This window comes from Homo sapiens, chromosome 15 (assembly GCF_000001405.40).
Source record: "Homo sapiens chromosome 15, GRCh38.p14 Primary Assembly".
NCBI classification, from domain to species: domain Eukaryota; kingdom Metazoa; phylum Chordata; class Mammalia; order Primates; family Hominidae; genus Homo; species Homo sapiens.
This window is the reverse complement of record NC_000015.10, coordinates 31379733-31392574: the sequence shown is the minus strand read 5'-3', so window position 1 is coordinate 31392574 and position 12842 is coordinate 31379733. Positions and strand designations below refer to the sequence as shown.

At 48.9% G+C, this 12842-nt stretch overlaps 1 protein-coding gene across 1 annotated transcript in view, besides 1 other annotated feature; it reads right to left on the bottom strand.

Annotated features, from left to right (window-relative positions):
* Positions 1 to 12842, bottom strand: part of KLF13 (KLF transcription factor 13) — a 108831-nt gene that overhangs the window by 43091 nt on the left and 52898 nt on the right. The gene's annotated exons all lie outside the window — the stretch shown is intronic.
* Positions 29 to 78: a silencer, noted in NCBI's record as "silent region_6267". NCBI's record gives its function as "represses an Ori minimal core promoter by ATAC-STARR-seq in GM12878 lymphoblastoid cells {active_cell/tissue: GM12878}" and the evidence as "EXISTENCE:reporter gene assay evidence [ECO:0000049][PMID:35858748]".

The window sequence follows — 12842 nt, the reverse complement described above, 5'->3', positions numbered from 1 at the left end:
GCAGGCCCCTTCAGGGGCGGGACAGTCGCGCGCGTAGAGGACCCAGGATGCGCCGTCAGGGTCCTGAGGAGCGCAGGGGACCCGGGGGAAAAGGACGCGGGTGAGAGCTGGGAGAGCAGGGCGGGGCCACATCAGGAGGGGCGTGGCCTGGGCGGCTCGAGGCTCAGCACCGCCGCCCCGTCCCCGCGACCCGTGACTCGGCGCCCCAGCCCGCGGCCAAAGAGGTGGCGTCTACCCCAGTCTCACTGATAGTCGCTGCCCGCGGTACATGAGCTCACGTGAGGAGAAGAAACTTAGAATGACAGAGTGCAAAGCACAGTGACAATCCTTATCGTTCTCTCCCGGACCACAGCATCATCCTTGTGTCATCTGAGCTCGCCGTGGGCTGGGGGAATCGCAGTGGGCAGAGGGCGCTGCGAAGTGGAGACGACGTACTGCGGCGGCCGCGAGGGCCTGGGGCTGGCCGGGGTCCGAGGGGGATGGAGACCGCGACCCGGGGGTCGGGGGCGAGTGGGCAGCTGGCGGGTCTGGCCGCTCGCTTCGGAGGCAGTGAATGGCCCGGCCGGGCTCGGCGCCCGCCCAGCCGAGGGCTCCCCCGCCTCCGGCCCAGCCGTCCCGGCTGCCCTCCGAACGCGGCAGTCCGCGCAGGAATCCTCTGCCTTCCCGGGGCCTTCACAGATCCTCCCCCGGGCCGGCAGTTCACGAATTCCAGGAACTTACTAGAGCCTGGGAAGCCCGGGAAGCGCCTCCCGCCGGGCTCCGCCTCCCCCAACCCAACTCCGCGGACTCCTCGAGGGCTCCTGACTGCCTGAGGAGCGCAGTAACACCCAGCCCACACAGCCCCACACAGCCCCCCACAGCCCCCCTACAGAGCCCCCACACAGCCCCCCAACAGTGCACCTAGAGCCGTTTCGGACCGGCCCACGGCAGCCGCCTAGACCTCCCGGAAGCGTCGGGGGCGGGGGCGGGGGCGGGGTGGGGGGCAATCCCAGAAATGGGTGTGGGGCCCCAGATGGGGCTCCTGGCCCAGCCCCGAGCTGACCCTTGTCTTGGGCCGGTGCAGGGCCCCCATTGTTAAAATGCGGCGAGCAGACTCCACTGAATTTCCAAAACGTGGAGTTTTGGAAATTTGGAGCACAGCCCCCCAACAGAGATCCCCCCTCCACAGCCCTACAGCCCCACAAACCCAGCCCCCACAGACCCCACACCCAGGTCCCCGCACTCAGCCCCGCACAGCCCCACAACCCCGACACCCACAGCCCCACACAGCCTACACAGTTCCACACCCAGCCCCCTTCAGCCCCCCACAGCCCAACACCCAGCACCCACCCCCACAGCCTCCTCAGCCCTATACCCAGCCCCCCCACAGGACCACAGAGCACCCCCAGAGGCCCACACAACCCCCTCAGCCCTACAGAGTTCCCCAGAGACCCTCACAGCCCCCTCAGCCCCACACAGCCCCCCCACACTCCCCCACATTATCCACCCCCGCCATAGTCCCCACAGCCCTCCACCCCATAGAGAAGCCCCATGCAGTTGAGAATGTACATCCTTTCCTGACTCAACAGCCTAGTAAGGGTCAGGACAAAATGCCATGGCCAAGAGTGCCATGAACACTGTTTGGGGACAGGGATGGCCAGAAAGGCTCCCACCAGACATGACCTGTGGTCTGGGTCTTAGGGGATGAATGAGATTTGAGTAAGGAAGCCTGTTTCAGCTCAGGGAGCAGACCAGAAGAAAAGAAGGAAAATAAACACAGGGATAATGCCGAACACAGAGATAAGGGACACAGAAGCCTGATTCAGTAAATCCACCTTCAACTAATAGGAATTCCAAAAGAAAAGAATGTAGAGGGAGGGCAATTAACAATACAAGATTAGAGGAAAGCGTTGCAGACCTAAGGAACAGACCTAAGGAGACATGGGTCTGCAGATGGAGTGCTCCGTGGAATGCAGGATCAAGGAAAAAATGACCTGCCTCTAAAAATATCTGAACAAAAGTGCAGAGCAACAGGGAGTAAGATTGGTTGACAGATTTCGAAGATGGTAAAAATAAAATGTTCACGGCAAAGGCTGAGAACTGCAGTGCATCAGATCCCCATCAGTAGCAATGGTTGTAAGAAGATGATTGGCAAGTAATTTTGAACCTTGTTTTCTATACTAGGCCAAATTATGAATCAAGCATGGGGTAGAAAAAAGATACTGTTAGACCTCCAAGGACTCAAAAAAGCAGAAACCCATCGTCCCATGCATCCTTTCTTGGATAGTTACTTGAGGATGTATTCCAGCAAAGTGAGAAAGAAAGCTAAGAGAAAGACCTGGGATTGACTCTTGAGTGATCCACCAGAGGGTGGTAAAGGGAGTCCGGGGCTGTGCTCCCACTCAGGGACAAGGAGTGGGGGTGCGGATCCATGGGGTAGGAGAGGGCAGGGGAGGTCTTGAGAATAAAAGGGTGGCAAAACTGAGGCCACATCAAAGGCACATTATTATTCTGTTATTAATATTATTCTGTTAATAAAAAGGAAGCAAGGCAAATAAAAGCTATAGGGAAAATGTATATAACAAAATTCAACTTCCACTGTAAAGCAAACTAACATAGGATAGGATTTTCAGTTCCTGAGGGAAGGCAAAATGAGTTCGCCCCATTTGCTCTGGATGCTAAGAATATCTTCCTTGTGTGGTTGGAGACGGTGGTGGTGGTGTTGATGACTTTAGGCCCATAGAGAAAGAAATGTGCCCCTGGCCCAGCGGTTAGCTGTGCAGTGAGTAACATGTAACAGTGACATGCCCAACTGCCTAGGGGTGTAGAGGCTCCCACTGTTGCAGTTCGAATCCACTGGGCTCCACTTTTACTATAGACTAAGCTGCAAAAGTAAAGGCTGAGGAGGATGGTGTTGTGGGACCTAGAGAGAGTGGATAGCAGAGGCCATCCTACTCCCACCTTCCATGAAGGGGAGTCAAGATGCAGACCAAAGGTATGGTAGTAAATATAGGGGAGTAAGAGCTAATGTAAAGTTTCAGAGAGAATCTGCAGAAGAGTTAAAACACTCCTCTAATGTAAACACAGGGGGAGGAGGGAGAAGGTGCAGAGGGTAGAGGGGACTGGAGGTAATTACAGTTGATGCTTGAACAACATAGGGGTTGGGACCGTTGATCCCCTCCCCCATTGAGTCAAGAATCCACATAAAACTTTTGACTCCTCAAAAATTTAACTACTGATAGCCTGTTGACGAGAAGAAGCCTTGCTGATCACATGAACAGATAATTAACACATCTTTTGTATGTGAGATATATTCTGCATTCTTACAATATGGTAAGCTAGAGAAAAGAAAATGTTATTAAGAAAATAATTATAAGAAAGAATATATTTAGTATTCATTAAGTAGAAGTGGATCATTATAAAGGTGTTCGTTCATTCTCATTGTCTTCATGTTGAGTAGGCTGAGGAGGAGAAGAAAGAGGAGAAGCTGATCTTGCTGTCTCAGGGGTGGCAGAGGCAAGAGAAAATTTACATGGAAGTGGACCCACGCAGTTCAAACCCATGTTGTTCAATGGTCAACGGTATTCATCTTTCATATTAGGAAGCCAGTGTATTTTGTCAAATACTCATAAATCACAAAGTAGGAGGACAAGTATTTTATTAACACTGAAGGGAATAACGACAAAAACAAATTAAAAACAGAAGCGATAAAAAGTTTAGTCCCCTAAAAAAAAAAAAAAAGTTTAATCCCAAGGTGGTAGAACTGGTGTGTGTGGGGGGAATGGGTAAAGAGACATTCTTATCATTAGTTTTTTTTTTTTTTTTTTTTTGGGATTTTTTAACCTTGTTCGTATGTATGATTAGAATTCCTGAATTTTAAAAATAAAACCAACAATCAAATTACTTCCAAAGTCCTTGAACATCATGACTCAATACTCCATAAAATAAACATATTTTACTGGTTTTCTTTTTCTTTTTTTTTTTTTTTTTGAGACAGAGTTTCGCTCTTGTCACTCAGGCTGAAATCTTGGCTCACCGCAACCTCCACCTCCTGGGTTCAAGCGATTCTCCTGCCTCAGCCTCCTGAGTAGCTGAGAGGGATTATAGGCACGCACCACCGCACCCGGCTAATTTTGTATTTTTACATGGAGAGACAGGGTTTCTCCATGTTGGTCAGGCTGGTCTTGAACTCCTGACCTCAGGTGATCTGCCCTCCTCAGCCTCCCAAAGTGCTGGGATTACAGGCGTGAGCCACCACACCCAGCCTTTCTGTTTCATTTTTAAAATCATTTTCACTGGCACTTTCTCAGTTTTACAACTGTCACCAACTGTACACAGAGCATGCATTCTATACCCTAGACATGAAGGGAAAACAAACAAACAATCAAACAAACAAACAGTTTCTAATGCTTACCTAAAGTTACAGTGCCAGCTGATGAGAAGAATAATAACCACCCAGGCCCATCATGTTCAGGCACTTCCAGGTACCAGGACAGATGACTTCGACTCCTTCCTGACTCGTGGCAGCATCCTTACCTAGTCTCAGATCAATGAAACCTGTTCTTGTTTTAAAGGCCTCCCAGCAAGGAGCTCAGCCTGTCTCCTCTCCGGCTGAAGCAGTTCTATTTTTATTCCATGCTGTTTGATGGCTCATGTCCAAGCCAGTGGCTGTGCTCCAGGTGCCAGACTCCCTGGCAGCACCCCTATTATGGGACAAAGCTCTGCCTGGTCCAGGCAGCAACCTGGTCACAGCCTGATCACAGGCTGGTCACAGCCCTGTCACGGACATCTGTGCACACTTCAATCTGCCCGTTGTAGGGACAGCCTGCAGGCCTGCCTGAACCTGGCCAAGCCCTGATAACATGCAGGAACCACATCTGTGAACCATGTCACAGACTGTCAAATTGTCAAACATTTCACACCTACAGTGAATACAAAGAAAGGAAAAACAAGCCCCACTTTTCCCACCACCCAGTTCTCGTACAGGCAGACCTCAAAGATATTGTGGGTTTGGTTCCAGACCACTGCAATAAAGCAAATATCACAATAAAGTGAGTCACACACATTTTTTGGTTTCCCAGTGCATATAAAAGTTATGTTTAAACTATACTGTAGCCTATTAAGTGTGCAATAGCATTCTGTCTATAAAAATAATGTACATACCTTAATTTAAAAATACTTTTTTTGCTAACAAATGCTAACAATCATCTAAGCCTTCAGCAAGTTTTGGTCTTTTTCCTGCTGGAAGGTCTTGATTCAATGTTGATGGTTGCAGACTGATCAGGGTGGTGGTTGCTGAGGTTTGGGTGGCTGTGGCAATTTCTTCAAATAAGACAACAATGAAGTTTGCCACACCCAATTGACTAGTCTTTTAGTGATGGACTTCTCTGTAGTGTGCAATGCTGATAGCATTTTACCCACGGTAAAACTTCCTCCAAAATTGGAGTCGGTCCTCTCAAACCCTGGCACTGCTTTATCAACTAAGTTTATGGAATATTCTAAATCCTTTGCTGTCATTTCAACAATGTTCACAGCATCTTCACAAGGAGTAGATTCCATCTCAAGAAACCACTGTTTTTGCTCATCCATAAGAAGCAACTCCTCATTCATTCAAGTTTCATCGGAAAGGAGTCTTTTTTCCTGAGCAGTAGATCTCAAAGTGGGCTTAAAAATATTCAGTAAACCATGCTGTAAATAGACGTGCTGTCATCCAGGCTTTGTTCTTCCATTTCTAGAGCATAGGCAGAGTAGATTTAGTGTATTTTTAATGGTCCCAGGATTTTCCGAATGGTAAATTAGCACTGGCTTTAACTTAAAGTCATCAACTGTGTTAGCCTTTAACAAGAGAGCCAGCCTGTCCTTTAAAGCCAGCCATTGACTTATCTCTAGCTTTGAAAGTCCTAGATGGGATCTTCCTCAAATAGAGTCAGTTTCATTTACATTGAAAATCTGTTGTGTAGTAAAGCCACCTTCATCAATGATCTTGGCTAGATCTTCTGGATAACTTGCTGCAGCTTCTATAGCAGCACTTGCTGCTTCATCTTGCACTTTTATGTTGTGGAGATGCCTTCTTTCTTTTTTCTTTTCTTTTTTTTTAAGATGGAGTTTCATTCTTGTTGCCCAAGGTGGAGTGCAATGGCACGATCTCGGCTCACTGCAACCTCCGCCTCCCAGATTCAAGTGATTCTCCTGCTTCAGCCTTTCAAGTAGCTAGGATTACAGGTGCACGCCACCACGCCCAGCTAATTTTTTGTACTTTTAGTAGAAACAGGGTTTCACCGTGTTAGCTAGGCTGGTCTCAAACTCCTGACCTCAGGTGATCCTCCTGCCTTGGTCTCCCAAAATGCTAGGATTACAGGCATGAGCCACTGCGCCCAGCCTAATACTTTCTTTCTTTAAACCTCATGAATAAACCTCTGCTAGCTTCCAACTTTTCTTTTCTAGCTTTGTAGCTTCTCTTAGCCTTTGTAGAATTGAAAGAAAGTTAGGGACCTTGCTCTGAATTAGGCTTTGACTAAAGGGAATGTTGTGGCTGGTTTGATCTTCTATCCAAGCCACTGAAACTTTCTCCATATCAGCAATAAGCCCATTTCACTTTCGTATCATTCATGCATTCACTGGAGTTAACACTTTTAAGTTCCTTCGAGAACATTTCCTTTGCATTCACAATGTGGCTAACTACTTGGCACAGCCTACCTCACCTTTTGAGACTTCCTCACATGGCTTCCTCACTAGCTTAACTATTTCTAGCTTTTGATTTAAAGTGAGAGACCTGTGACTCTTCCCTTCACTTGAACACTTAGAGGCAATTGTAAGGTTATTAATTGGCCTAATTTCGATATTGTGTCTTAGGGAATAGGGAGGCCTGAGGAGAGGGAGAAAGACAGGGAAAGGCAGGTTGGTGGAGCAGTGAGAACACACACATTTATCAATTAAATTTGCCATCTTATATGGAAGTGGTTCATGGCACTCCAATTACAAGAGTAACATCAAAGATCACTGATCACAGATCACCATAATAGATGTAATAATAGTAAAAATGTTTGAAATATTTTGAGAAATACCAAAATGTGACCAAGACACAAAGTGAGCATGTGCTGTTGGAAAAATGGCACCAATAGACTTGTTCAAGGTGGATTTGCCACAAATCTTCAATTTCTAAAAAACACAATATTTGCAAAGTGCAATAAAATCATGTGCACTAGAACAAGGTATACCTGTAAATCCTAAATAAATCTAATGTTGCAACCCCCTTGGGCCCCTCTCAGTCACCTTGTCCTGACTTTGGGATTAACCTTCATCATGTAGGTTTCATGCTCTTGGTCTATAGATACTCATCAGTTCAGGCTGCTAAAACTAATTACTATAGACTGGATGACTTAAACAACAAACATTTACTTTTCACAGTTCTAGAGGCAGGGAAGTCCAATATCAAGGTGCGGACAGATCCAGCGTCTGGTGGGGGCTCTCCTCCTTGTTTGCAGATGGCCACCACCTTCTTATATCCTCATGTGGATGAGAGAGAGATCATCCCTCTCACATCTCTTCTTGTGAAGGGATCAATCCCATTCATGAGGATTATGAAATCATGAGATCCACCCTCATGGTCTAATCACCTCCCCAAGGCCTTACCTCCTTAATGCCATCCTATTGAGGGTTAGAGTTCAACACGTGAGTTTGGCAGGGACACAAACATTCAGTCCATAGCAGGTATGGATGCATGAGTAGCACATGGCATTGCTTGGTGTGTTTGGTGCTCCTTTAGCAGCTTGCTTTTGTGGTGCAGCATGGTTTTTGGGTGACTTTGGGATGACACACTCAGCTCTATGTCATCCCTTTGCACCAACGTGTGGACAGCCTTTGGGCGTGTCTGTCCTTGTGTGGACATGTTGAGGGCATTTGGGGTATGTCCAAAAGTACGCTCATGAATGTTGGTGGACATCTTTTGGGGGATGAAGTGGGGACACACTGTGCCAGCTTACCTTTGGCAAGCTCTTAGCCTCACAAAAGTGCTATTGTGAGTTTTAATGACAAAAGTGATACCTGAGTAGTTTTGAGAATTTAGAGAGCATACAAAAATAAGTAAATAAAAGTCATCTGTTGTCCTCTACCTAAAGGTAACAATTGCTTGAGTTGGTTCTGTCTCTTACCTGTCCTTATGTTTTTGAGAAGGAGCCTCACTCTCACCCAGGTTGGAGTGCAGTGGTGTGATCTCGGCTCACTGCAACCTCCACCTCCAGGGTTTAAGCCATTCTCCTGCCTCAGCCTCCTGAGTAGCTGGGATTACAGGCACCACACCCGGCTAATTTTTGTATTTTTAGTAGAGACGAGGTTTCACCATGTTGGTCAGGCTGGTCTTGAACTCCTGAGCTCAGGTGATCTGCCCGCCTCAGCCTTCCAAAGTGCTGGGATTACAGGCATGAGCCACCTCACCTGGCCTACCTACCCTTTTTCTATGCATTTAAACATGTAAACACAATATAGCTATAGAGAAAAGTGTTTTAATAAATCATGATCATACTTCTGTACTGTTTTGCAACCTACCTCACCTCTTTCACTTAATAATAGATTGGGTATTAGTCATAATGGAGGTTATGTGGTTCATTGAATTAATCTCCTATTCCTGGACATTTAAGCTATTCGAAACATCTTGATATTTTTATTTTATTTTATTTATTTATTTATTTATTTTTTGAGACGGAGTCTCGCTCTGTTGCCCAGGCTGGAGTGCAGTGGCGTGATCTTGGCTCACTGCAAGCTCTGCCTCCCAGGTTCACACCATTCTCCTGCCTCAGCCTCCCGAGTAGCTGGGACTACAGGCGCCCACCACCACGCCCAGCTAATTTTTTTTGCATTTTTAGTAGAAACGGGGTTTCACCGTGTTAGCCAGGATGGTCTCGATCTCCTGACCTCGTGATCTGCCCGCCTTGGCCTCCCAAAGTGCTGGGATTATAGGCGTGAGCCACCGCGCCCGGCCCATCTTGATATTTTTAACAGATAACTTTCTTTTAATGTTGTTCTTATGTGACATTCGCTGCATTCACAAGAACATATGTAATGAAAGTGTGAGTGCGACCCTGTCCTCAGCACTAGGCTGTCATCATCGCTGACACTCCTATGTGTGCCTCTCCTGGCCCTGTGACCCTCACTGCAGAGGCACCTGTTCTCTTGGATTTAGAGTTTGTGTTTCCATTGTAATCCAGGTTCCACAAACTAGTAGCTGGTCTTCCCAAAGTGGAAGGTTCATGTACAAAGTCCACTGGGCCACGGTGGGAGAGCACTGCAGAGCCCGGGAAGGAGGCCATCCTCCCTGCTCTGAGCATGTTCCGCCCCCACAGGCCAACAGTCGATCTCAGAAAACCCACTGGAGTGTGTTTATGGTTAAAAGAGCAGGAGACAGACAAGAGACAGGGAGCAGCTGTGTTCATCAGGGTAAGCATGCAATAACCACTTTCCCAAAACACCTTGTGTTGCTGGTGTTGAGATGAGGACCCCTCTTAGGAGGTGCAGAGGAAGTCTGCTGATTATGCAGGCCATCTTGATATTTACTGTTGATTCTCCCTGGTCCCCTGGCCCATTCATAAGTAAATGATTACCTAATTGTGAGGTTGGGAATGGAAGACATTATGATGGGGCAGGGGTCAAGAATGAGCCCTGGAGCTGGGGTCAGGACACCCAGACTGAGCTCCTTGGGCCTATCATGTGCTTGTAAATGAGGGCAACGCCCGTCACGACTTTGTACTGTCTGTCTCTGAGTTCCAAGAGGTCTGAGTGAGTGGACGCGGTACCTAGACACATTGGCAGCCTGGGCACAGGGAGTCACAGCTATGCAGGGGAAAGGGCTTTGCCTGGTTGCTTGGTGGGCCCTGAAGGGAGGTCTGAACCTCACAGTGCCTGGGACTGGGCCCCCCTGAGGGCAGCTTGCTCATCTTTTTAGAGGACATTGCATTGGACACACTGAGCTGCCAGGTGCAGGCCCACACTGGCCAGTGTTCAGGCCCCAGAAATGCAGCAGCCAGAAAAATGCTAAGTCACCAGCCCTGTGTCATGGGGCCTGTCACTCTTCTGGGCCTGTCCCACAATGCCAGAGAATAGACAAAGGTACCCCTAGACAGGTTAGAAGCCTTTAGAACTCAGAGCTTAAAAGGCAGCTGTGGCCAGTGGTCCAATCAGACCAGGGTCCCTCCGTGACTTTTGCCAGCTGTGTGACCTTGAGAAGGCCACTTCAACCCTCTGAGCCTCGTACCCTCTGCAGCCCTAAGTTGGGACTACTCACACCTCCCTCCCTCTGAGAGTGCTCAGAGGGTACAGCTCAGCAAGCAACCCTCTGGCCCAGGATCTGGGCAAGTGGCTGCTGCCCGGCAGGCCTCTGGGACAGGGAGTGCAATGTGGGACAGCCTTCCTCTGTGTCCCAGGTCAGTCCCAGTCTCTGTCCACAGGGATCATTTCCCAGTGGCATGTGAGAGTGGAGGCCTGGCCTGGGGGCCTGAGTATCTGGCATGGGTACAGTTCCCAGCATCTGACATCTCGCACACCACTGGGAACTTCACCATGACCCCACACAGACCATGCCAAGCTTGCTTCCCAGGTGAAGGCAAGGCTCAGGAAAAGACTTCTTTCCACAGCTGCGTGGCAGGCTGCTCAGAGCTGAAGGCCCAGCTGCGTCTGGCACGGAGACACCAGACCTTTCTCCGCCCTGAGCAACGGCTGTGCAGGCAGCAGCAGGTGAACTGGGGTGCAGGTCTTCAAGAACTGATCGGCTTTTAAGAACTGTAGTGAAGTGACAATTATTTTTACTATTACTCCTACTTTTTAAAGCTGAATAGTTGATAGGGAATACTATGAAGGATGACAAAACACAGGTGGAAGAGATGCTCAGTCCAGTTTAATTCAACTATGTTTTGTGAATTTGCTTGGGTCATGGAGAGTGGGATGCAGGCTCCTTCCACTAGGCAGGAGTTCATCAAGCCCTGCAGCCTAAGCTGCCACTTTGCTCCCTGCAGCTCAGGGGAGTGCAGGAAGGACATGAAGGCTGGGGTGGATGGGGGGCTCATCCTGGACTAGTTCAGGGTTGGGGGCAGCCTGATGTGCAGCCACATCTCAGCCGCACAGGGTAATCACAGAGGTCCTTATAAGAGGGAGATTAGGAGGTCAGAGAGGAGACGCTACTCTGATGGATTTGAAGACAGTGGAGGAGGCCACAAGCCAAGGAACGTAGGTGGCCTCTACAAGCTGGGAAGGAAAACAAGACTCCAGAAGGAAGCAGCCCTGATGACACCTGGATTTTAGCCCTGTAAGACTTGTTTTGCACTTCTGACCTCCAGAGCTGCAAGAGAATAAAAGAATAAATTTGTGTTGCTTTAAGCCACTGCTTATGGTAATTTGTTACAGCAGGAATAGGCATTCTATTTTTTTTTTTTTTTTGAGACAGAGTCTTGCACTGTCGCCCAGGCAGGAGTGCAATGGCGCGATCTTCGCTCACTGCAACTTCCAGCTCCCGGGTTCAAGCCGTTCTCCTGCCTCAGCCTCCCGAGTAGCTGGGATTACAGGCACCCGCCACCATGCCCGGCTAATTTTTGTATTTTTAGTGGGGATGGGGTTTCATGATGTTAGCCAGGCTGGTCTCAAACTCCTGACCTCGTGATCTGCCTGCCTTGGCCTTCCAGAATGCTGGGATTACAGGCATAAGCCACTGTGCCCAGCCAGCAACTGGCAATTAATACAGGCCTTGTGTTTCCAACACTGTCTTCTGTACAAACCTGCCTGTCCTATGTACCATTGGAATGCTGGTCTCTGATGCGTAACGGTGGAGGAAAGTTGGTGCAGAGATAGCAGCCCTGCCAGGAGTAGCTGCATGTCTTTACTGCTTTCCACGTAGGAGACTTTTTAGGAGTGGTGCCAATGGCAGGAATTTTAGCATGGCCTAGATGAGGTTTGATTGGGGGTAATTGAGCCACCCATGTCCCCAGAATAAGCTACACATCGCCTAGTCTGTTATTCAAGACCTTCTGCAGCCAAACCCAACCCAGAAAAGGCCAGTCCACACCCCAACATGACCAACAAGGCTAGGAGAAAGTGTCAGAGGGTCTTGATGATTACACCCCAGTGAGTCCACTTGGAAAACACTGTGGCCCTTCCTCTGAACGCTAACTGGGCCCCCTTCCAGAACACCAGTCCCTTCATGGAATTCCTGGCAAGCAGTGTTTCAGCCCCTGCTTGAATGCCTCCAGCGACAGGGTGCTCACTGCCTACAGGCCAGCACCAAGGAATGGGAAGTCCTTCTTTATTAATTTATTTGTTTTTGAGACAGAGTTTCGCTCTTGTTGTCCATGCTGAAGTGCAGTTGCGTGATCTCGGCTCACTGCAACCTCTGCCTCCCGGGTTCAAACGATTCTCCTGCCTCAGCCTCCCAAGTAGCTGGGACTACAGGCACAAGCCACATTTTTGAATTTTTAGTAGAGACAGGGTTTCTCCATGTTGGTCAGGCTAGTCTTGAACTCGAAATCCTGACCTTAGGTGATCTGCCTTCCTCGGCCCCCCAGAGTGCTGGGATTACAGGCGTGAACCACTGCGCGCGGCCAGAAGTCCTTCTTTAGAGGGGCAGATGTCACTGTGAGCCTTTGCCAGGCTTGGCCCTCTTAGGGAGTGCACCTCCGCCCTCCACCAGATGCTTCCCCTCACCTGGGTCACTATGCAGCCAGACACAGCACTTCGCCTAACTGCCACAAACCTGACTTCTAATCCAAGTCCTGAGAAATATGGAAAAAGGGTCAGGTCCAGGAGTGTCCTGAGGCTGGCCTCTCAGGCCTGCCTCCAGGACACTGTCATCTCTGCTCAGCACAGAGGACCTGTCAGCCACAGAC